This window comes from Homo sapiens, chromosome 13 (genome assembly GCF_000001405.40).
Source record: "Homo sapiens chromosome 13, GRCh38.p14 Primary Assembly".
Classification (NCBI taxonomy): Eukaryota; Metazoa; Chordata; class Mammalia; order Primates; family Hominidae; genus Homo; species Homo sapiens.
In genome coordinates this window covers 95,480,087-95,501,000 of record NC_000013.11, presented here as the reverse complement: position 1 = coordinate 95,501,000, position 20,914 = coordinate 95,480,087, and the positions used below count along the sequence as shown (strand labels likewise).

General features: G+C 44.1%; 1 protein-coding gene and 1 long non-coding RNA gene across 3 annotated transcripts in view, besides 2 other annotated features; one reads left to right on the top strand and one right to left on the bottom strand.

Annotated features, from left to right (window-relative positions):
* Positions 1-20,914, bottom strand: part of CLDN10 (claudin 10) — a 146,005-nt gene that overhangs the window by 78,759 nt on the left and 46,332 nt on the right. The window lies entirely within an intron of this gene.
* The window catches only part of CLDN10-AS1 (CLDN10 antisense RNA 1), a 54,467-nt gene that overhangs the window by 32,910 nt on the left and 643 nt on the right, over positions 1-20,914 (top strand). The window contains exon 3 of the long non-coding RNA NR_046533.1: positions 3,876-3,942. This is a non-coding gene — a long non-coding RNA (CLDN10 antisense RNA 1). The remainder of the gene's footprint in view (positions 1-3,875; positions 3,943-20,914) is intronic.
* Positions 8,305-8,805: an enhancer, noted in NCBI's record as "H3K27ac hESC enhancer chr13:96144450-96144950 (GRCh37/hg19 assembly coordinates)". NCBI's record gives its function as "activates a minimal SCP1, AML or CMV promoter by ChIP-STARR-seq in naive H9 embryonic stem cells {active_cell/tissue: H9 hESC(naive)}" and the evidence as "EXISTENCE:reporter gene assay evidence [ECO:0000049][PMID:30033119]".
* Positions 20,616-20,695: an enhancer, noted in NCBI's record as "active region_7879". NCBI's record gives its function as "activates an Ori minimal core promoter by ATAC-STARR-seq in GM12878 lymphoblastoid cells {active_cell/tissue: GM12878}" and the evidence as "EXISTENCE:reporter gene assay evidence [ECO:0000049][PMID:35858748]".

Here is a 20,914-nt window from a genome sequence, read left to right as displayed (position 1 = left end):
AAATTTTTTTAAAAAGACCAAAATGATCTGCCCTCGATGGTATCCCTTACATGCCGCGCCCTCTCTGCTTCTTCCACTCCTTTTGCTCAGTTCAATTTTCTTTGTTTCCCAGGAGAATTGTGTCACCCTTCCATTCAAATCCATCCCAGCAACAAGTTTATTTTTAAAACGAAAATGAGGTCACTTCTCTAATTAAAAACTTTTAATGGTTTCTGGTGGTTAGCTGGATAAAGTTGAAATCCCTTCATTAGCTTCTTATTGGTGTCTCAAAGGCTTGCCCCAACCCACCTCTCCAACTTTGTCATTCACTGATCATCACTCATGCCAGACCCTACTCACAGCAATTGCTTCTTGTTCCTCAACAAGCATTGCTTCTTTCTGTGCATCCTTCCTCCACTTGCCAGAGACCTCCTCCCTTACCTTCCTCCACACATTCCTGAAACATCCTTCTGTACTCAGCTACAAGCTGTGCATAAACTGGCCTCTCCCATCCTCCCACTCCACCCTCACTCTACTCCAACACTGGCCTCAAATGTAGTGAGTTGTCTCCCATTTGAGGCTCACTCTTGGCATTTGCTGTTCCCTCTGCCAGGCGCACTCTCCTTCCTGGATCATTGCATGGCGACTAACTCCTTTGAGGCATTGAGGCCTCAGGCTAAATAGGTACTTCCCAGAGATGCTTTCCCTAACTTCCCATTCTTATTTAGACCCCGCCTCACTCGCATGCAACATGCTGTTTTACTGACCTCTCAGCCTTGTTTATTTATCTGTTTAGAGTGTGTCTCTCCACTTCAATAGAATGGAATGTAGACTCTAGGAGAATGGGGAGCCTTTGGGCTTTATTCGAGGATATATTCTCAAATTTTAGAACAGTGCCTGGCACATAGCAGGCAGTCAGTAAGTATTTGCAGACTACATGAATTGGTAGGTGGGTGGGAACATTTAACATAGAGCAAGCTTGTCCAACCCATGGCCTATGGGCTGCCTGTGGGCCAAGGATGGCTTTGAATGAGGCTCAACACAAATTTGTAAACTTCCTTAAAACATTATGAAATTTTCTTGTGGTATTTTTTTTCTTTGTGCTCATCAGGTATCATTAGTGTTCATGTATTTTATGTGTGGCCCAAGACAATTCTTCCAATGTGGCCCAGAGAAGCCAAAAGATCGGATACCCTTGGTATAAAGGAACTTTTTTCTAGTGCTAAATCCCTTCCCAACGTGTCAGGCTTGCTTTGTCAGTGCCTGGGTCAGTGTTGGGGCTCCGCTGCTGATTCCATTTATCACCCCCTTAGGCAGTTTCCCTCCCAGACTCTCAGGCCTTCCTGGGAACCTTCCACCTCCACTGGCAGCAGGGCTGGTCAGGTCTGGATCGCTCAGTCTGCCCCGGTGCCTGTCTATCTGCCTGTCAGCATGCAGATCCAAATCACTTAGTCCTGTCTATTTTCTTTTCTTTTTTTTGAGATGGAGTTTCACTCTTGTCGCCCAGGCTGGAGTGCAGTGGCGTGATCTCGGCTCACTGCAAACTCTGCCTCCCGGGTTCAAGTGATTCTCCGGCCTCAGCCTCCCAAGTAGCTGCGATTACAAGCGCTTGCCACCATGCCTAGCTAATTTTTGTAATTTTAGTAGAGACGGGGTTTCACCATGTTGGCTAGGGTGGTCTAGAACTCCTGACCTCAGGTGATTCACCTGCCTCAGCCTTTCAAAGTGCTGGGATTACAGATGTAAGCCACTGCGCCTGGCCAGTCCTGTCTCTTTTCAATGCTGGCTAATCAGAAAAGGGTGCTTAATAATTGCTGCCAATCATGACTTATAAAACTCTTTTAAACACAACTCCAAGCATTTTCATGGACTTCTTAAAACGTATTCCTGGCATGGACGGATTAATGGATAAACAAGATGTGGCCTATCCATACGATGGAATGTTATTCAGTCTTGAAAAGCAAGGAAGCTCTGACTCATGCTACAACATGGATGAAAATTGAAGACATTATGCCAAGTGAAAAGCCAGTCACAAAAGGACAAATTCTGTGCGATTCCACTTATACGAGGTATCAAGAGTCATCAAATTCATAGAGACAGAAAATAGAACGGTGGTTGCCCGGCAGTGGCAGAGGCAGAAATGAGTTCTTTAATGGGTACAGAGTTTCAGTTTTGCAAGATAAAAAAGTTCTGGAAATTGCTTGTGCAACAATGTGAACGTAGTTAACACTATTGAGCTATACACTCAAAAATGGTCAATGTGGTAAAGTTTATGTTGTGCATATTTTAATTTTATCACAATTTAAAAATTATAAAGGAGAGGAATAGGCTGGGCACGATGGCTCATGCTTGTAATCCCAGCATTTTCAGAGGCTGAGATGGGTGGATCACTTAAGGCCAGGAGTTTGAGACCAGCCTGGCAAACATGGTGAAACCCCATCTCTACTAAAAATACAAAAATCAGCCAGGCGTGGTGGCTTGTGCCTGTAGTCCCAGCTACTCGGGAGGCTGAGGTGGGAGGATTACCTGAGCCCAGGAGGTTGAGGCTGCACTGAGCCGTGATGGCACCACTGCACTCCAGCCTGGGCAACAGAGCAATCCCTGTCTCAAAAAAAGAAAAAAGAAAAAAGAGTATATCACCCATAAAATATTTTGCCCATAGACATCTTGTGTGTGTAGTTGTACTGGAAACTGAAATTCTCTTTGGAATGTTTCCTACTGTGATGCTGCTGGAGAAGGATCTAAAGGAATGAGGATCTGGAGTTTGGCGTTGTGGATCCCTGGAGGATTCAATGAAACAGTAGTGAGAAGGCAGGATAGTCATGCTGGGAGATGAGGGCTGCCTGGCAGCTCCAAGGAGGTGCTTTCCTCAGGTCACACACTGACCTTCAGATTCCCTCTCAGGAAGAACCTGATCCATAACTCTGAATGCTCCTGGGATCTGTTAAGCAAGAATCTGTGTTTTAATTTTATTACATCTAGAAATTAATAGACTGTAAAAATTTCCCCTTGGTTTGCTTTTTAAAATCATCTTGTATTGTTTCTCTTTTTGTTGTGTTTTTATTTTAAAGAAAAATGTTCAAGTTTACCTTCTCAATGTCCTAAACCTTTAAGTTCAACATCATTTTACTTTTCCCAAGATGTCCCTTCACTTCTCTTCTCTTCTTTGATTTTTTCTTTCCTTCCAGAATTCCCCTTTCTAGTATTCAGTGGCCTGTTTTCTTTTGAGAGAAAAATGTTTGGCAACTTACTCTTTGGCTGCAAAAGTGCTGAACAGGTTTTAAACACTTGGATTTTCCCAGCTGGCCCTAATCCTTTGCCTGTTACATAAAGGGACCACTTAAGCCCCTGAAATTGCAGGGGACATTTGTGTTGAAGTTCACTATTCTAGGATTATTTGGTGAGGTAGGTATGGTTGTGAAACTGCAATGCACATTCAAAGATGACACTACCACGAGTCCAAATCTATCTGCACAAAGCCGGGAGGATGGGCAGGCCTGCCTCCCTCTTTGTGTGGCTGGTCTGTCCTTTGCAGAGTAACAGCTCTGCTTCCTGTCAGGGCTGTGGCGGTTGGCACAGAGTCCTGGCACTGAGCTCAGTGGCCCCTTCTTCCTTAAGCCCAGCCACACTGCTTCTGATTCCTGGCTCATGCTTGCCATGGCTTCTCTTGTGATTTTCTTTCAATGCTATATTGTCCTCTAAGAGCCTAAAATAGAAGCTTGACCATGATCCTTTCATAGAATTCAATATTCAGCCTCAAAATAAATTAAATATTGCCACATAATAAGTTTCATTCACTATAATATGTTTATTAATAACCGATATAATAGATTGTTTAATTATAGTTAATTATTGATACTGACATTTCATGATTATAGCTGACATTTTTTTTTTAGTGCTTCCTTTGTGTGGCCCCGTATTGCCCTGTATAGAAGCATTTCGTCTTCACAACAACTCTATGAGGTAGGTACTATTATCCTCGTTTTCCAGCTGGAAAACAGGCCTGGGGAGATTGAGAAACTTACCCAAGTCCCACAGCTAGGGAGTGGTGGAGCTGGGATTGAGTTCAGGTTGTCTGTTTTCAGACCCAGAGCCTGCACTGGAGTTTGTGTGTCCCTATGTGCATTCCACAGAACCCAGTAGCAGATGGTGCAATGAGGAAAACAAAAGGAGTGTCATGTACTGGAGGCTTGGGTCCCCCTCAGATCCATATGTTGAAGCTGTAACCCCCAATGTGATGGCATTTGAGGTGGAGTCTTCAGGAAATAATTAGGTTTACATGAGGTCATGAGGGTGGGGCCCCCGTGGTGGGATTAGTGCCCTTACAAGAAGAGGAAGAGACAAGGGCTGGGTCACTCTCCAGAACATGAGCACACAGTGAGATGGCAGCCATCTGCAGGCCAGGAGGAGTGCCCTCTCCAGGAACTCAATCTGCCGGCCCTTGACCGTGAACTTCCCAGCCTCCAGAGCCATGAGAAGTAAATGTCTGCTGTTTAAGCCACCCAGTCTATGGTATTTTGTAATCGCAGCCTGAGCACAGTAAGACAAGGGGTAGTGCTTTTTAATCAAATCAATTTTGAAAATGCCCCATACAGTACTATCTTCCTATCTTAAAGGACCAATGATGCCTATTGAAATCAAAGACTCTGAAAAGTCCTGCAGTAAAGGAAGCTATTTAAATTTGTTTAAACAATTGCTTCTCAAACTTTTTGACTATGGAATATCTCCCCACTTATGAATATCTCAAAGAACACACTGGAAGGTACTACTGGAAGTGAAGCATATGCGTCAGACGTGAATGTGTGCTTATTTACCAGGTGGGATGAACTGCCCAATGAAGCCATAAAGTTGTATAGGCGAGGGTTTGGTAGTTGAAAAGAGGAGAGAAGAATGCAGACACAGCCTGAGAAAGGGCAAAGGGCCGTATCCAACATGTGGGAAGTGCCATTTCAGGGAAAAGAGCCCAAATATTCCGGAACATCTGGGGAAGATAAAAGGAAGTTGTTCTTGGGATAAATTTGGTGAGAACCTACTTTCAAGAGCAGAGTTTAGGGCCTGTCCTGGCTGGAGGAGCTGATTTTAAGAACAGAAAGAACAGTCCAGTATTAAATGTTAATTTGAATATAGGAGGATAGGATAAAAAATGACTCAGAATTATTATGTTATCTGGGCTGAAAAGCGTCATATTTACTGCCCATTAGAAATTCCTTACAGGCTGATTTCCTAAAGTTAGCTTCATTTCTTTCTTTCTTTCTTTCTTTTCTTTTTTTTTTTTTTTGAGGTGGAGTCTGGCTCTGTCGCCCAGGCTAGAGTGCAGTGGCGCAATCTCGGCTCACTGCAAGCTCCGCCTCCCGGGTTCACACCATTCTCCTGCCTCAGCCTCCCAAGTAGCTGGGATTACAGGCGCGCGCCACTATGCCCGGCTAAATTTTTATATTTTTAGTAGAGACGGGGTTTCACTGTGTTAGCCAGGATGGCCTCGATCTCCTGACCTCATGATCCACCCACCTCGGCCTCCCAAAGTGCTGGGATTACAGGCTTGAGCCACCGCGCCTGGCCGAGCTTCATTTCTTTCTAGGAAATTACAAGACATGGACTCAAATAAAAGGCTCAGTTGACCAAGGGAACAAGATCTTGTTTAGTCCTGGTAATACCCAATAAATATTTGCTAAATATATGCAAAGGGGCAGGGCACGGTGGCTCACGCCTGTAATCCCAGCACTTTGGGAAGCCAAGACGGACAGATCACTTGAGGTCAGGACTTCGAGACCAGCCTGGCCAACATGATGAAACCCCGTCACTACAAAAAAATACAAAAATTAGCCAGAGGTTGTGGCATGTTCCTGTGGTCCCAGCTACTCAGGAGGTTGAGGCAGAAGCATCGCTTGAACTCAGGAGGTGGAGGTTGCAGTGAGCTGAGATTGCACCACTGCACTCCAGCCTGGGCAACAGAGAGAGACTCCATCTAAAAAAAAAAATTAATTAATTAATTAATTAATTATATTGAAAGGACAAGAAAGGGAGGATTAATTGCACAATTTGGGTTTTGCATCCTTAAAATGAAATATTAATTTTACCAAGCAGTTAGTTTTTTAAGAGTAGGGGTGGAGGGGAGAAGGTGAGATTGCTGGCAGAAAGATAACAAATTACACAAAAGCCATCAAGGTGTTGTGTGATCTTACGATGAGGTTTCATGTCTGTTCATCTGTCAGATGATGGGGCCAGACTAGGTGGTCTTAAAGGCCCTGTCCGTATCTACCATCCTAAGATTCTCTGTTCTTCAGAACACGCTAGAGGAAGTTTGGGAAAGCAACTGTTTTATTCAGAGATAAGTACACTTAATACAATTCAGACAATACATTTGTAACGGGCATTTAACACAGCAATCAATTGTACAAGTAGATTCTATTTACTTTTTCTTTTATTAAGCGGAAGAATAAATAAACATAACTGGCCTCAATTATTTAACACTAAAAATGTTGACATTGTAGAGATAAACGTCAACACCAAGAAATACGTTTTCCATGTTCTCCTTAAAACAAATAGAAAGTTTGAATGATATCAATAATTATCCCTTAGAATTGGGATGTATTCAGGTTTTATGCGTGTTACATAGAGCAAACAGGCTATTTTCAATTTCTGTGTTTGTATATTTACCTATAATTGCCAACTTTCTGCAAATGATGTTTCCTCTTGTGTAAATACCAACTGGATTTAGCAAATGTCATGATTATTCGTGCCACCTATTGGTGAAATGTAGTATGACAGCATCTTTTGTGTGCAAGACAGCTACTATGGGGAGAGGAAGGTTGTCAGGACAAATTAAACAGGAATTCTGTACTCAAGAACGGTGGAGAATCTATCTTTTATGAGGCAATTCAAAATTTGAACACTGGAAGGGTATTTGATGGTAGTAAGGAATTACTACCTTTTTTATTTCCTATTATTTTTTAATTGTTTATTTTTAGGTGTGACATTGGTATTGTGGTTATGTTAAAACGTCTTTATCTTTTAGAGACACATAGTAAGATATTTATGAATGAGCGAAAATGATATGTGTAACATGATTTAAAATAGTATTAGCAATTTTGATACATGCACAACGTGGATGAACCTTGAAAACGTGCTAAGTGAAATAAGCCAGACACAAAAGGACAAATATGGCCGGGCATGGTGCCTCACACCTGTAATCCCAGCACTTTGGGAAGCTGAGGCGGGCTGAATACTTGAGGCCAGAAGTTTGAGACCAGCCTGGCCAACATGATGAAACCCCATCTCTACAAAAAATACAAAAATTAGCTGGGCGTGGTGGCATGTGCCTGTAATTCCAGCTACTCGGGAGACTGAGACAGGAGAATCTCTTGAACCCGGAAGGTGGAGGTTGCAGTGGAGCCAAGATCATGCCATTGTACTCCAGCCTAGGTGACAGAGTGAGACTGTGTCTCAAAAAAAAAAAAAAAAAAGTGGGGGTAGGCAAATATATAGGGTATCTAGAGTGTCAGATTCACAGAGACAAAAAGTAGAATGATGATTACCAGAGACTGGGGGAGGGGAAGTGGGGAGTTACCATCTAATGGGTCCAGAGTTTTAGTTTTGTAAGAACTCTTTTCTGGAGATGGGTGGTGGTGATGGTTGCATAACAATGCGGATGTCTTTAATACCACTGAACTGTATACTTAAACATGATTAAAATGCAAAGTTATAACATGTATTTTTTAGCACAATAAAAAAAAAATTAGGGCCAGGTGGGTGCACCTGGGCTGGCAAGGAAGGGGCACCCGTCTGGGTGGGTGGGGCAGGGAAGGTACCTGAGGTCACTGGCTTGGCGGTAGCGGCAGGGGTGGCAGAGGTGGAACTGCAGAGTTGCAGGGTCCACTGACCCTTACCCTCAGCTGGAGAATAACCCTCCAGATCAACTGCAAGAACAAACCAGCAATCCTGAGAGGAGCCGCAGACCCTCTGAAGGAAGCGGACTGCCCCTGCAGGACACAGGAGACACCCCAAATACTGTGAGTGCCCCAACTGCGGAAGTGGGAAAGGGGGACCCTCCTCTTCCAAACACACATCACCACTGGGGAAGCGGAAGGTCTGTTTTTGGGAGAAGTTTCCAACTTTACCTCAAGCTGAGTCAAGTTAGAGAGCTGAGCCGAGCAAAATACAAGGGTAGAGGAAGCAGCAGAAAGGTCCTGGGAGCTCGTTGGGTCCCCAAGCAGCCCATTCCTGCCTGACACCACAGGGATCCATCAGGAGGGTGGCCAGAGGAGAAGGGGGTAAAACTCCATAGGGAGAAGGAATTCTCTAGCTGAACTTTATAACAATTTGAAAGGGGCAAGAAGCCTCCTGACCAGAACCTAGGGGAGAGCATGAATCTGGTGTGCAGACTTCACATGCAGGGGGAAGAACTGAAGCCCTTTTCTTCCACAGCTGGAAGGGAAAAAGCCTTGGGCAAGTTTTCAAGCCCATCTCACCCTCCACCAGGAAACAGACTCGAGGCTGTTGGGGGAGGCACGGTGGGAGTGAGGCCGACCCTTCGGTTTCTGTGGGAGCTGGGTGAGGCCTGTGATTGCCAGCCTTCCCCAACTTCCCTGACAACCTGTATGACTCAACAGAGGCAGCCATAATCCTCCTAGGTACACAATTCCAGTGACCTAGGAATCCCACCCCCATCCCCCACAGCAGCTGAAGCAAGACCTGCCCAAGGAGAGTCTGAGCTCAGACACACCCAGCCCCGCCCCCACCTTATGGTCCTTCCCTACCCGCCCTGGTAGGGAAAGACAAAGGGCATTTAATCTTGGGAGTTCTAGGGCCCCACCCACCACCAGTCCCTTTCCACATGACTACAGCTGATGCTTTCTGGAAAGCACCACCTCCTGGCAGGAGGCCAACCAGCACAAAAATAGAGCATTAAACCACCGAAGTTAAGGACCCTCACGGAGTCCATTATACCCTCCTCCACCTCCACTGGAACAGGTGCTGGTATCCATGGCTGAGAGACCCACAGACGGTTCACATCACAGGACTCTGTGCAGACAACCTCCAGTACCAGCCTGGAGCTGGCTAGACTCACTGGGTGGCTAGACCCAGAAAAGAGACAATAATCACTGCAGTTTGGCTCACAGGAAGCCACATCCACAGGAAAAAGGGGGGTGTACTACATCAAGGGAACACCCCATGGGACAAAAGAATCTGAACAACAGCCTTCAGCCCTAGACCTTCCCTCTGACAGAGCCTATCCAAGTGAGAAGGAGCCAGACAATCAACCCTGGTAATATGACAAAACAAGGCTGTTCAGTATCCCCAAAAAATCACACTAGTTCACCAGCAATGGATCCAAACCAAGAAGAAATCCCGGATTTACCTGAAAAAGAATTCAGGAGGTTAGTTATTAAGCTAATCAGGGAGGGACCAGAGAAAGGAGAAGCCCAATGCAAAAGTATCCAGAAAATGATACAAGAAGTAAAGGGAGAAATATTCAAGGAAATAGATAGCTTACAGAAAAAAATAATTTAAAAATTCAGGAAATTTTGGACATACTTTTAGAAATGTCAGGTGCTTTGGAAAGTCTCAGCAATAGAATTGAACAAGCAGAAGAAAGAAATTCAGAGCTTGAAGACAAGGTCTTCAAATTAACACAATCCAACAAAGACCTAGAAAAAAGAATAATAAAATATGAACAAAGCCTCCAAGAAGTCTGGGATTATGTTAAATGACCAAACCTAAGAATAATCAATGTTCCTGAGGAGGAAGACCTCACATTTCAATACAATATTGAATATAAATGGTCTAAATGCTCCATTTAAAAGAAGAACCACAGAATGGATAAGAACTCACCAACCAACTCTCTGTTGCCTTCAGAAGACTCACCTAACACATAAGGATTCACATAAACTTAAAGTAAAGGGGTGGAAAAAGGCATTTCATGCAATGGACACCAAAAGCGAGCAGGGGTAGTTATTCTTATATTAGACAAAACAAACTTTAAAGCAATAGCAGTTAGAAGAGACAAAGAGGGACATTAATGGTAAAAAGACCTTGTTCAACAGGAAGCTATCACAATCCTAAACATATATGCACCTAACACTGGAGCTCCAAAATTTATAAAACAATTACTATTAGACCTAAGAAATGAGATAAACAGCAACACAATAGCAGTGGAGGACTTCAATACTCTGCTAACAGCACTAGACAGGTCATCAAGACAGAAAGTCAATAAAGAAACAAAGGATTTAAACTATACCTTGGAACAAATGGACTTAACAGATATATACAGAACATTTCATCCAACAACTGCATTCTATTCAACAGAGCATGGAACTTTCTCCAAGATAGACCATGTGATAGGCCACAAAATGAGCCTCAATAGATTTAGAAAATTGAAATTATATCAAGCACTCTGTCAGGCCATAGTGGAATAAAACTGGAATTCAACTCCAAAAGGAACCTTCAAAACCATGCAAATACATGGAAATTAAGTAATCTGCTCCTGAATGAGCACTGGGTCAAAAACAAAATCAAGATGGAAATTTAAAAATTCTTTGAACTGAATGACAATAATGACACAGCCTATCAAAACCCCTGGGATACAGAGTCGAAAGGCCTCTTCAAGGAAAACTACAAAACACTGCTGAAAGAAGTCATAGATGACACAAACAAATGGAAACACATCCCATGCTCATGGATGGGTAGAATTAATATTGTGAAAATGACCATACTGCCAAAAGCAATCTACAAATTCAATGCAATCCCCATCAAAATACCACCATCGTTCTTCACAGAGTTGGAAAAAACAATTCTAAAATTCATGTGGAACCAAAACAGAGCCCACATAGCCAAACCAGGACTAAGCAAAAAGAACAAATCCAGAGGCATCACACTACCTGATTTCAAACTATACTATAAAGCCATAGTCACCAAAACAGCATGGTACTGGTATAAAAATAGGCACACAGACCAATGGAACAGAATAGAGAACCCAGAAATAAACCCAAATACTTACAGCCAACTGATCTTCAACAAAGCAAACAAAATCATAAACTGGGGGAAAGGACATCATTTTCAATAAATGGTGTTGGGATAATTGGCTAGCCACATGTAGGAAAATGAAACTGGATCCTCATCTCTCACCTTAAACAAAAATCAACTAAAGATGGATTAAGGACTTAAACCTAAGACCTGAAACTATAAATATTGTAGAAGATAACATTGGAAAAACCTTTCTAGACATTGGCTTAGGCAAGGATTTCATGACCAAGAACCCAAAAACAAATGCAATAAAAACAAAGATAAATAGCTAGGACCTAATTAAACTAAAGAACTTTTGCATGGTAAAAGGAACAGTCAGCACAGTAAACAGACAACCACAGAGTGGGAGAAAATGTTCACAATCTATACATCTGACAAAGGACTAATATCCAGAATATACAACAAGCTCAAATGAGTAAGAAAAAAAATCCCATCAAAAAGTGGCCCAAGGACATGAACAGACAGCTCTCAAAAGAAGATATATAAATGGCCAACAAACATATGAAAGAATGCTCAACATCACCAATGATCAGGGAAATGCAAATCAAAACCACAATGCGATACCACCTCACTTCTGCAAGAATGGCCATTATCAAAAAATAAAAAAAAAACCAGTAGACGTTGGCATGGGTGCAGTGAACAGGGAACCCTTCTGCATTGCTGGTGGGAATGTAAACTAGCCACAGTGGAAAACAGTATAAACAGCCACTATGGAAAACAGTGTAGAGAGTCCTTAAAGAACTAAAAGTAGGGTCGGGCGTGGTGGCTTACATCTGTAATCCCAGCACTTTGGGAGGCCAAGGCAGGTGGATCACCTGTGGTCAGGAGTTCAAGACAAGCCTGGCCAACATGGTGAAACCCCATTTCTACTAAAAAGTAAAACTAGCCTGGCGTGGTGGTGAGTGCCTGAATCCCAGCTTCTCGGGAGGCTGAGGCAGGAGAATTACTTGAACCCAGGAGCCGGAGGTTGCAGTGAGCAGAGATCATGCCATTGCACTCTAGCCTGGGTGACGAGAGAAACTCCGTTTCAAAAAAAAAAAAAAAAAAAAGAACAAAAAGTAGAACTATGATTTGATCCAGCAATCCCACTACTGGGTATCTACCCAGAAGAAAAGAAGTCATTACATCATTACACCAAAAAGATACTTGCATATGCATGTTTACAGCAGCACAATTTACAATTGCAAAATCCTGGAACCAACCCAAATGCCTATCAATCAACAAGTGGATGAAGAGATTGTGGTATATATATAGTGGCATATATATATATATGATGGAATACTACGCAGACCTAAAAAGAAATGAATTATCAGTGTTTGCAGTGACCTGGATAAGACTGGAGACTATTATTCTAAGTGAAGGAACTCAGGAACGGAAAACCAAACATCATATGTTCTCACTGATATGTGGGAGCTAAGCTATGAGGATGCAAAGGCATAAGAATGATACAGTGGACTTTGGGGACTTGGGGGGAAGAGTGGGAGGGGGCAAGGGATAAAAGACTACAAATATGGTGCAGTGTATACTGCTCGGGTGATGGATGCACCAAAATCTCACAAATCACCACTAAAGAATTTACTCATGTAACCAAATACCACCTGTACCCCAATAACTTATGGAAAAAAAATTGTTAAAAAATTGTTAAAAAAAAAATTTGAGGCCAGGCATGGTGGTTCACACCTGTAATTCTATTACATTGGGAGGCCGAGGTGGGTGGATACTTCCACCAATTGCATCTTTCTTTTTTTTTTTTTTTTGAGATGGGGTCTCACTCTGTCACCCAGGTCAAGAGTTTGAGACCAGCCTGGCTAAGACGGTAAAACCCTGTCTCTACTAAAAATACAAAAATTAGCCGGACATGGTGGCAGGCGCTGGTAATCCCAGCTCCTTGGGAGGCTGAGGTAGAGAATTGCTTGAACCCGGGAGGTGGAGGTTGTGGTGAGTCGAGATCACGCCACTGCACTCCAGCCTGGGTGACAGAGCGAGACTCCATCTCAAAAAAAGAGAAAAGAAAAAAAATTAGGCCAGGCTCAGTGGCTCATGCCTGTAATCCTAGCACTTTGGGAGGCTGAGACAGGAGGATCACTTGAGCCCAGGGGTTCGAGACCAGCTTGAGCAACACTGTGAGACCCTGTCTCTACAAAAAAATTTTTTAAAATTAGCCAGGCATGGTGGTGTGCACCTGTAGTCCTAGATACTCGGGAAGCTGAGGTGGGAGGGTCATTTGAATCTGGGAGGTCAAGGCTGCAGTGAACCATGATCACGCCACTGCACTCCACCCTGGGCAACAGAGTGAGATCTCATCTCAAAAATTAAAAAATTAGAAAAACTTAGAACCATAGGGAATGGGAGTACAGATGTGACAACATTGTCCATGAGTTCATGAAGTATGTGAGAGTTTATACTCTTCTCTGTTATTTTTGTATATGTTTCAAATTCTCTATAATGAAAAATTTCTTTTTTTCCTAATGAAACTCCTGGTCTAGGAGGGAAGATAAAATGTGAACATGAATAACTTCTACATGACAGAAAGAGATAAACTAAGAGAAGTGCAGAGGAAATTTCAAGAATTACTATGCTTCCACAGATGAACCCAAATGCAAAGCTTAGAGCAGTGATAACATACTCTTTAGCCAGTCTTCAGCATTATTTGTACTGAATATTCAAAAATGATTTTGTGATGACTTTATATCAGTGTAAAGTTCTCTTCATAGGTAACCCTCTAAGGGAAAAATAGAAAAGTAAGTCCTGCAAACAGGAGATAGTCTTCTTGGGAAACTTCAGTTCTGAGCAAGAGGATGCTAGGATAGCAGAGACTGGACAAGAGTGTTCTCCTAGAAATGACATCATAGGCTGCCAGAACAAATTGCCTGTGAGAATAGCATGTGCTTAATCAGGAGATAGATGCAGAGAACACCCATAGGTGTAGGTTAGAATCATGCTAAAGAGCAACAGGCTGGACACGGACAGTTCAAATCCGTGCGAAACACAACACAAAGACGATAGCACAGCGACAACAGCAAAATCTCCACTTCATTTTGGCCATGACTTTTCACCTCTTTTCTCCACCAAAAACCTTATTTCTTTAAATTTTCCATGTGCAACTCATTGATTGAGCACCCAAGTATCAGGCACCATGTTGAACACTGAGGCGGTAAAGGGAGAGTGTAGTTCTGCCTCCCCAAAGAGCTCACAACGTGGCCAGGTGGAGGCACATGCACAACTGAGAGGCTAAAATGTGGCTACTGAATCATATGGCCAGGATGGAAAAAGAAAAATCTTTAGGAATAAAAAGCAAGGCACCTTTCATTCTGTTTGAGATGCCTGTGAGGCAGGTTCACTGTACTCTGGTTACCAATTCCAGGGGAGATCCTACTACATGGAGGATAGCAAAGATCATCACTATGCCAACCAACCACCAGGAAGAGGAGTCCAGATACTTCTGCCAATTGCATCTTTTTTTTTTTTTTTTTTTTTGAGATGGGGTCTCACTGTGTTGCCCAGGCTGGAGTGCAGTGGTGCGATCTTGGCTCACTGTAACCTCCACCTCCCAGGTTCAAGTGATTATCCTGCCTCAGCCTCCAGAGTAGCTGGGACTACAGGCGCACGCCACCATGCCTGGCTAATTTTTGTATTTTTAGTAGAGACGGAGTTTTGCCATGTTGGCCAGGCTGGTCTCAAACTCCTGACCTCAAGTGATCCACCCACATCGGCCTCCCAAAATGCGCCTATTGCATCTTGGGCTGCAATTTCTACCACTTGCAGGAGTTGAGGGAGACAGAACACTCACAGAACAAGTTAGGCAAAGCAACTTTATTCATCACAGATAGGCAGCAAGGCACAACAGAAGCCTAGCATCCATTGCGAGCTGATTCTGCAAGGCTCAGGAAGCTACTCAGAATGGATGGAGTCTTGTCTGCACATGCCCCACAATGCACTGTAGCTGAGGCACTCTGAAAGCACTCCACTCTGGGTTTTATACCCTGGGGGGAAACTGGGATCACTGGACCACAGCATTGGAGGACATCTTGTCCTAAGAGGAACAGAAACAGAATCTGGCATATTCTGGACAGCTTTTCCTTATCTCAGAATGTTGTTTCCAGCACATTCTAGCATTATTCTGAGAACTACAAGTGAAAAATGGGGGAAGAGCTGGGTTATCAAGGCCATCCAGGCACTTATCCTGCAATGCCCAGGAAAGTCACCCCAGAGGAGGTTACATTTGAGTTGGCCTCAAAGCACGGCTAGAATTTCTAGTCCTTATCTGGAGGAAATAGAGTGAGGAAAAACATACAGCTGAGTATGCCAAAAACACAAGTTGTCCAGTGAATGTGTGTAAACTCAGGCTGAAATTTAGCAGGGATGATGAGAAAGGAGATATGGATTAGGCCTGATTAGGAATGCCCTGATGTGCCATTCTAGGGAATCTGGAGTGGGCCCGGGCTTGAAAACCAGCAGTGATGAATGGTAGAATTCTGTTTGGCCAGATCAGATTTGAAAATAATTTTGAATACCTTTGGATAGGAAATTCAGCTCCAATGACTCATAGACCTGTGGTGTAAGGCCTGAAATTAAGATTCAAAACTAAGTGCTGCCTTGACCATGGAGGCTGGTAAAATCAGGGTACAGAGGCTCAAATGGATTAACTGCAAGTTCTCCTCCCACTCTGCTCCTGGTGGATAAAGTCCTCTAGCCAAGCAACCCTCCTTATCAAAGGGACCAGGCGCAGTGCTAGGCTTCAGGTCCCCGTCAGCCTGTAGAATTATCCAAGCAAACCAAACACATCCTCTTACAGGAACCAGGGGCACCTCGCCCTCTTGTTACTACAAAGCCTGCCTCCCACAGCTTCCTGGTGGTTCACTCTGTTCCCAGCTGCAACCCCCACGTGGCTCTCTGTGGGGCAGTGTCGTCCTTCCCTGGGCCATGAGCATATGTGACTAATTACCTGCTGCCCATCTCATCTGTCTAGGCTTGGATGTTGTACATTCAACCATCCTCTCAACTCTAGGGCGGAATCCCTCCCTCACCAGTGGGGTGAAGTGGAGGCAAACTAAATCAAACTAAATAAGACCCCATCATACCATGTTGTATTGCACTCTGCTTCTTTTTTTTTTTTTTTTTTTTTTTTTTTTTTGAGACAGGGTCTCACTTTGTTACCCAGGCTGGAGTGCAGTGGCACAATCTTGGCTCATTCCAACCTCCACCTCCTGGGTCCAAGCGATTCTTGTGCCTCAGCCTCCCGAGTAGCTGGAACTACAGGTGCTTGCCACCACACCTGGCTAATTTTTGTGGGTTTTTTTTTTTTTTTTTTGTATTTTTAGTAGAGACGGGGTTTCGCCATGTTGGCCAGGCTGGTCTTGAACTCCTGACCTCAAGTGATCTGCCCACCTTGGCCTCCCAATGTGCTGGGATTACAGGCGTGAGCCACCACACCTGGCCTCATCCTGCTTCTTTACACACTTACATTTCCTGCATAACTGAAAAAACTTGACCTTGTAACACCTCTTTTCAGGGGAATGACATATAAAATTATTCATAATGACAGACTATGAAATATTTTACCAATATTTTCCTTTAAGAAAGATTAGGGAAGTAGTGTTTAGGATAGATTCTACATGGAACAAATTAGAAGTAGAAAGACCAGTCAAGAAGTATCTGAACAGAATGATAGCCGAGTGGTGTGCAGTGGATACTGTGATATGCTGCCCAGAAAGGACAGTGAAGGACATCAGGCCCCAGCTGCTAGAAGTGCTGCTGCAGTCAGCCTGTAGCTCTTAGCCCTCTCAGAAAGTGACTGAGCTGCAGAGAGCTGCCTCACCCAAGGACATGCCCTATCTTTGTCCTTTTGGGCTGCTATCCTACCAGAGACTAAGTAGTTCAAAAACAACAGAAATGTATTTCTCACAATTCTAGAGGCTGGGAAGGCCAAAGTCAAGGCACCAGCAAATTTGATGCCTGGTGAGGGTTGGCTTCCTAACTGATAGAGAATGTCTTCTTACTGTATCCTCATGTGGTGGAAGGGATAAGGGAGGGACCTCTCTGGGGTGTCTTCTATAAGGGCACTAATCCCATCCCGAGGGCTCCATCCTTGTGACCTAATCACCTCCCAAAGGCCCCACATCCCAATACCATCACCTTGGGGGTTAGCATTTTAACATACGAGTTTTGGAGGGACACAAATATTCAGACCATAGCACACTCATGCCTGGGGAAGCTCATATCGAGTGACCAATGGATGGTGGAGCATAAGGGCTTGGCCAGCTCAGCCATGCTTGGCATGTTTCTAAAAGTCCACCTAACTCCAGAGCTCTTGGTGAGGTTTGCTGAGACTGTCAGCCTTGGGTTGTAGCTCAACGTCACTGCTCTGCCCACTCCTGCTTCTGTCCCCTACCTTCCACAGGTGTGGTCCCTCCCACAGGCACGCCTTCATGAAATGCCTCTTTAGAGTCTGGTTTCTGGGGATACAACCTGTGATGCTTAAAAAATTAAGAGGCCGGGCACAGTGGGTCATGCCTATAATCCTAGCACTTTGGGAGGCCAAAGCAGGAGGATTGCTTGAGCTCAGTAGTTGAAGACCAGCCTGGGCAACATAGTGAGACCATGTCTCTACAAAAAATTTTAATAAAAAAGAAAGAAAAAAAATTAGAGATGAGAAATGAGGGGAGGAGAGGGAAATTGAGAAATAAGCTTAGATAATTTTCACCCTAAGGGTAAATCTCCCAAATAATGTTTCCCCATCTTCTCAGAGAGCCCACAGTCTGAACGAGGAGAAAGCTGTTCAATGAAAAATCAATAAGTAGTCAGGTGAATCCTCCAGGAATCTGCACAGAGTGGCAGTGCCACACCTTTTACATAAACCAACCTCCTCACTCTCCCCTCCTCAGCAGCTCCCAGGCCTGAGGACGGGCAGCGTCACTTTCTCCCAAGAACGATGGAGAATCATTTCTCACCAGTAAGAATGTTGGCCTCACATTAAATTCGTGATGTTTAATGGGCTTATTTATGTATTTATTTATTTTTGAAATGGAGTTTCGCTCTTGTTGCCCAGGCTGGAGTACAGTGGCACGATCTTGGCTCATTGCAACCTCTGCCTCCTGGGTTCAAGAGATTCTCCTGTCTTAGCCTCCGGAGTAGCTGGGATTACAGGCACACGCCACCATGCCAAGCTAATTTTTTGTATTTTTAGTAGAGATGGGGGTTTCACCATGTTGGCCAGGGTGGTCTCAAACTCCTGACCTCAGGTGATCCACCCACCTCAGCCTCCCAAAGTGCTGGGATTACAGGCGTGAGCCACCGCGCCCAGCCAGTTTATTCATTTATACTTCAATCAGGATTAAGTACATCATGAGAATAAAACAATCCAGATGGTTCTGAGACTGAATCTGAGCTCCTGGGTAACACAGCAGGGTGGATCTGGACTAGACTTCCTGCCCTGGATCAGCAAGATTGGTCTCATAGGTGTGCACTGAAGGCAGCCCGAGAAGGTGTGATTTGATGGGCACCTAGAAGACCCATCTATCCCCAAAAGACATGACTCAGTGAGGCTCTAGACCCTTTCTGCCACAGCAGCTTCATGTGGGCTTTGTAGATCAGCACAGCTCTTAGACCCAGCTGTGCACGGCGCCTGACTTGGGCCATATATATTAGAGAAGGGGTCAACAAACTACAGACTTTGGGCCAAATCTAACCTCCCCATCCAGACCTGTTTCTGTATAGCCTATGTAAAAAATGTTTTTTACATTTTAAAAATCTTTTGTAAATTTTTAAATTTGTAATTGTTGTGGGTACATAGTAGGTGTATATATTTATGGGGTACATGGGACGTTTTGATACAGGCATGCGATGTGAAATAAGCACATCATGTAACATGGGGTATCCATCCCCTCAAGCATTTATCCTTAGTGTTACAAACAATCCAATTATACTCTTTTATTTTTACATGTACAATTAAGTTACGTTATGATTGAGTTTTTACTTTTTTGAGTCAGAGTCTCACTCTGTCGCCCAGGCTGGAGTGTAGTGGTGCGATCTTTGCTCATTGCAACCTCCGCCTCCTGGGTTCAAGTGATCCTCCTGCCTCAGCCTCCCAAGTTACTGGGATTACAGACATGCACCACCACACCCAGCTAATTTTGTATTTTTAGTAGAGATGGGGTTTTGCCATGTTGCTCAGGCTGGTCTCCAACTCCTGATCTCAGGTGATCCACTCACTTCGGCTTCCCAAAATGCTGGGATTACAGGCGTGAGCTACTGTGCCTGATCGAGTTTTTACATTTTTAAATAATGGAAAGAACCCAAAAGAAGAATATTTTGCAACATAGGAAGATTATCTGAAATTCAAATTTCAGTGTTCACAAATGAAGTTTTCCTGGAACACAGCCATGCTCATTCTCTTAAATATCATCTGTGGCTGTTCTCATGCCCAACAGCAGAGTTGAATAATTGCCACAGAAACCACATGGCCCTCAGAGACTAAAAGTTTACTACCTGGTACTGACCCCTGCTTTACAGCTTTGCTGCTTCATTCTGTGGTCTGAAGACCAGCCTCACCAGCTTTACCTGGGAGGCTGTTAGAAACGCAGAATCTTGGTCCCTGCCCTAGACCTACTGATTCAGATCCCAGGAAATTTCTATTCCCATGAATGTTGGAGAAATGTCAGCTTAGAGGGTTCTGCCCCGGCCATCCTCTGCTGCCCTTCCCCTCAGTGCAGGCAAGGTCCGCACTGAGTCACAGATTTAACATTATAGTTAGTCATAAATGTTTTAAAATTATGAGTCTGCAAGGTCAAGGGCATGCGTCCTCCTGGAAACTCTTCCCCATCTAGGCCATGCTCTGAGTGCCTGGGAATTTTCTGCCTCCAGGGTCAATGCCAGCTTCCTCTCTGGGGTCCATTCTAGCCCAATAGGTGGTCAAGATGCAGCTGTTACAGGGTGGACGGAGAGTGCCTGTGCTTGAATTTATGGATGGTGTGTCCTCTTGCTCAAGAAGCAAGTTCCTCATGGCATAAAGTGGGAAGACAAAGGGGAAGGATGGCAGCTGGGGGTTAGCTCTTGCTGTCCCATTACCTTCTGGCTTGGGCTATAGAGCCCAGGAATTCTAGCCTGCCATGTAGTTATGTATATATATTTGACAGTTTATTCACTTGATAGATAACTTCTAAGTATTTCAACATAGCTTATGGGCCTTCATTGGTACTCTTGAATGTGAATAGCGTGTCTATTGAATATTTCTCAACGTGTGTTCTGAGGACCCCATGCAGCAGAATTCACGTGGGTTGTTTGCTTAAAATGCAAATTCCTGGGTCCCGTTTTTGATTATCCTGAATCAGAATTTTTGAGGGTGGAGCCAAGGGATCTGCATTCTAACAAGTTTCCCAGTGGTTCTGGTTCACACCAGAGTTTTAGGAACTCTTGAAACTGGGGTAGGGTGGACAGGAGCTGGCTCCCAGTGGGCAGGAGCTTCAGGGGAGAAGAAAAGGAACCAGCCAGCTCAGGGGACCACAATGGCTGCCAGCTTCAGACGCTTCCTATTTCTCTCATTATCTCTCTTCCGCATCTGGCCTGAGCCCAGCTCTGGGTGTGAGCTGTGGAGAGAGGTTTTCTGCCAGGATTGGGCAAGGGCATTCTCCTCTAATACAGGGCCTTCAGAGACTGCTCTACCGAAGGAAGTGTCTGAGTCAATGTGAAACTGGAAAGAAGAGAGATATGGTTTGGCTGTGACCCCACTCAAATCTCATTTTGAATTATAGCTCCTACAATTCCCATGTGTCGTGGGAGGGACCCGGTGGGAGGTAATTGAATCATGGGGGCGGGTCATTCCCATGCTGTTTTTGTGATCGTGAGTCTCACAAGATCTGATGGTTCTATAAGAAGGAGCTCCCCCGCACAAGTTTTCTCTTCCCTGCCACCATGT